This window comes from Homo sapiens, chromosome 20 (assembly GCF_000001405.40).
Source record: "Homo sapiens chromosome 20, GRCh38.p14 Primary Assembly".
Classification (NCBI taxonomy): Eukaryota; Metazoa; Chordata; class Mammalia; order Primates; family Hominidae; genus Homo; species Homo sapiens.
In genome coordinates this window covers 27,013,408-27,016,056 of record NC_000020.11, presented here as the reverse complement: position 1 = coordinate 27,016,056, position 2,649 = coordinate 27,013,408, and the positions used below count along the sequence as shown (strand labels likewise).

General features: G+C 39.0%; 1 annotated feature.

Moving 5' to 3' along the window:
- Nucleotides 1-2,649: part of a centromere (Linear centromere model derived predominantly from reads generated in PMID: 17803354. This region does not represent an actual centromere sequence, as long-range ordering of repeats and unmapped WGS contigs is not provided by the model. For details of model production, see http://arxiv.org/abs/1307.0035.) that runs on past both edges of the window.

Genomic DNA, 2,649 nt, shown 5'->3' with positions numbered 1-2,649 from the left:
CACCATACGCCTGAAAGCGCTCCAAATGTCCTCATCCAGATACTACAAAAAGAGTGTTTCCAACCTGCTCTATGAAAGGGAATGCTCAACTCTGTGACTTGAATGCAGACATCACAAAGAAGTTTCTGAGAATGCTGCTGTCTCCTTTTTATATGTAATCCCGTTTCCAACGAAATCCTCAAAGCTAGCCAAATATCCACTTGCAGATTCCACGAAAACAGTGTTTCAAAACTGCTCCTTTAAAACGATGGTTCAATTCTGTTAGTTGAGCAAACACATCACAAGTAAGTTTCTGAGAATGCTTCTGTCTAGTTTTTATGGGAAGATATTTCCTTTTTCACATTAGGCCTGAAAGCACGCCAAATGTTCACTTATAGACACTACAAAAAGAGTGTTTCAAACCTGCTCTGTGAAAGGGAATGTTCAACACTGTGACTTCAATTGAAACATCCCAAAGAAGTTTCTGAGAATGCTTCTGTCTAGAGTTTATCTGAAGACATACCCGTTTCCAACGAAATCCTCCAAGCTATCCAAATATCCTCTTGCAGATTCTACAAAAAGAGTGTTTCAAAGCTGCTCTTTGCAAAGAAAGGTTCAACTCTGTCAGTAGAGGGCACACATCATGAACAAGTTTCTGAGAATGCTTCTGTCTAGTTTTTATGGGAAGATATTTCCTTTTTCACGTTAGGCCTGAAAGCACGCCAAATGTTCACTTATACACACTACAAAAAGAGTGTTTCAAACCTGCTCTGTGAAAGGGAATGTTCAACACTGTGACTTCAATTGAAACATCCCAAAGAAGTTTCTGAGAATGCTTCTGTCTAGAGTTTATCTGAAGACATTCCCGTTTCCCAAGAAATCCTCAAAGCTATCCAAATATCCTCTTGCAGATTCTACAAAAAGAGTGTTTCAAAACTGCTCTTTGCAAAGAAAGGTTCAACTCTGTCAGTAGAGGGCACACATCACAAACAAGTTTCTGAGAATGCTTCTGTCTAGTTTTTATGGGAAGATATTTCCTTTTTCACCTTAGGCCTGAAAGCAATCCAAATGTTCACTTACAGACACTACAAAAAGAGTGTTTCAAACCTGCTCTGTGAAAGGGAGTGTTCAATTCTGTGACTTGAATGCAAACATCACAAAGTAGTTTCTGACAATGCTGCTGTCTGCTTTTTATACGTATTCCCGTTTCCAACGAAATCCTCCAAGCTGGCCTAATACCCACTTGCATATTCCACAGAAAGAGTGTTTCGAAACTGCTCTCTCAAAAGAAAGGTTCAACTCTGTTTGCTGAGTAGATACATCATGAAAAAAGTTCTGACATTGCTTCTATCTAGTTTTTATTGGAAGATATCTCCTTTTTCACCGTAGACCTGAAAGCGCTCCAAATGTCCACTTCCAGATAGTACAAAAAGAGTGTTTCAAACCTGCTCTATGAAAGGGAATGTTCAACACTGGGACTTCAATTGAAACATCCCAAAGCAGTTTCTGAGAATGCTTCTGTCTAGAGTTTACATGAAGACATTCCCGTTTCCAACGAAATCCTCAAAGCTATCCAAATATCCTCTTGCAGATTTTACAAAAAGTGTGTTTCAGAACTGCTCTATCAAAACAAAGGTTCAACACTGTCAGTTGAGGGCACACATCACAAATAAGTTTCTGAGAATGCTTCTGTCTAGTTTTCATGGGAAGATATTTCCTTTTTCACCATAGGCCTGAAAGCGATCCAAATGTCCACATCCAGATACTACAAAAAGAGTGTTTCAAACCTGCTCTATGAAAGGGAATGTTCAACTCTGTGACTTGAATGCAAACATCACAAAGAAGTTTCTGAGAATGCTGCTGTCTCCTTTTTATATGTAATCCCGTTTCCAACGAAATCCTCAAAGCTAGCCAAATATCCACTTGCAGATTCCACGAAAACAGTGTTTCAAAACTGCTCCTTCAAAACGATGTTTCAATTCTGTTAGTTGAGCAAACACATCACAAGTAAGTTTCTGAGAATGCTTCCGTCTAGTTTTTATGGGAAGATATTTCCTTTTTCAACATAGGCCTGAAAGCGCTCCAAATGTCCACTTCCAGATACTACAAAAAGAGTGTTTCAAATCTGCTCTATGAATGGGAATGTTCTACTCTGTGACTTGAATGCAACATCCCAAAGAAGTTTCTGAGAATGCTTCTGTCTAGAGTTTATCTGAAGACATACCCGTTTCCAACGAAATCCTCAAAGCTATCCAAATATCCTCTGGCAGATTCTACAAAAAGAGTGTTTCAAAGCTGCTCTTTGCAAAGAAAGGTTCAACTCTGTCAGTAGAGGGCACACATCACGAACAAGTTTCTGAGAATGCTTCTGTCTGGTTTTTATGGGAAGATATTTCCTTTTTCACGTTACGCCTGAAAGCACGCCAAATGTTCACTTATAGACACTACAAAAAGAGTGTTTCAAACCTGCTCTGTGAAAGGGAATGTTCAACACTGTGACTTCAATTGAAACATCCCAAAGAAGTTTCTGAGAATGCTTCTGTCTAGAGTTTATCTGAAGACATTCCCGTTTCCCAAGAAATCTTCAAAGCTATCCAAATATCCTCTTGCAGATTCTACAAAAAGAGTGTTTCAAAACTGCTCTTTGCAAAGAAAGGTTCAACTCTGTCA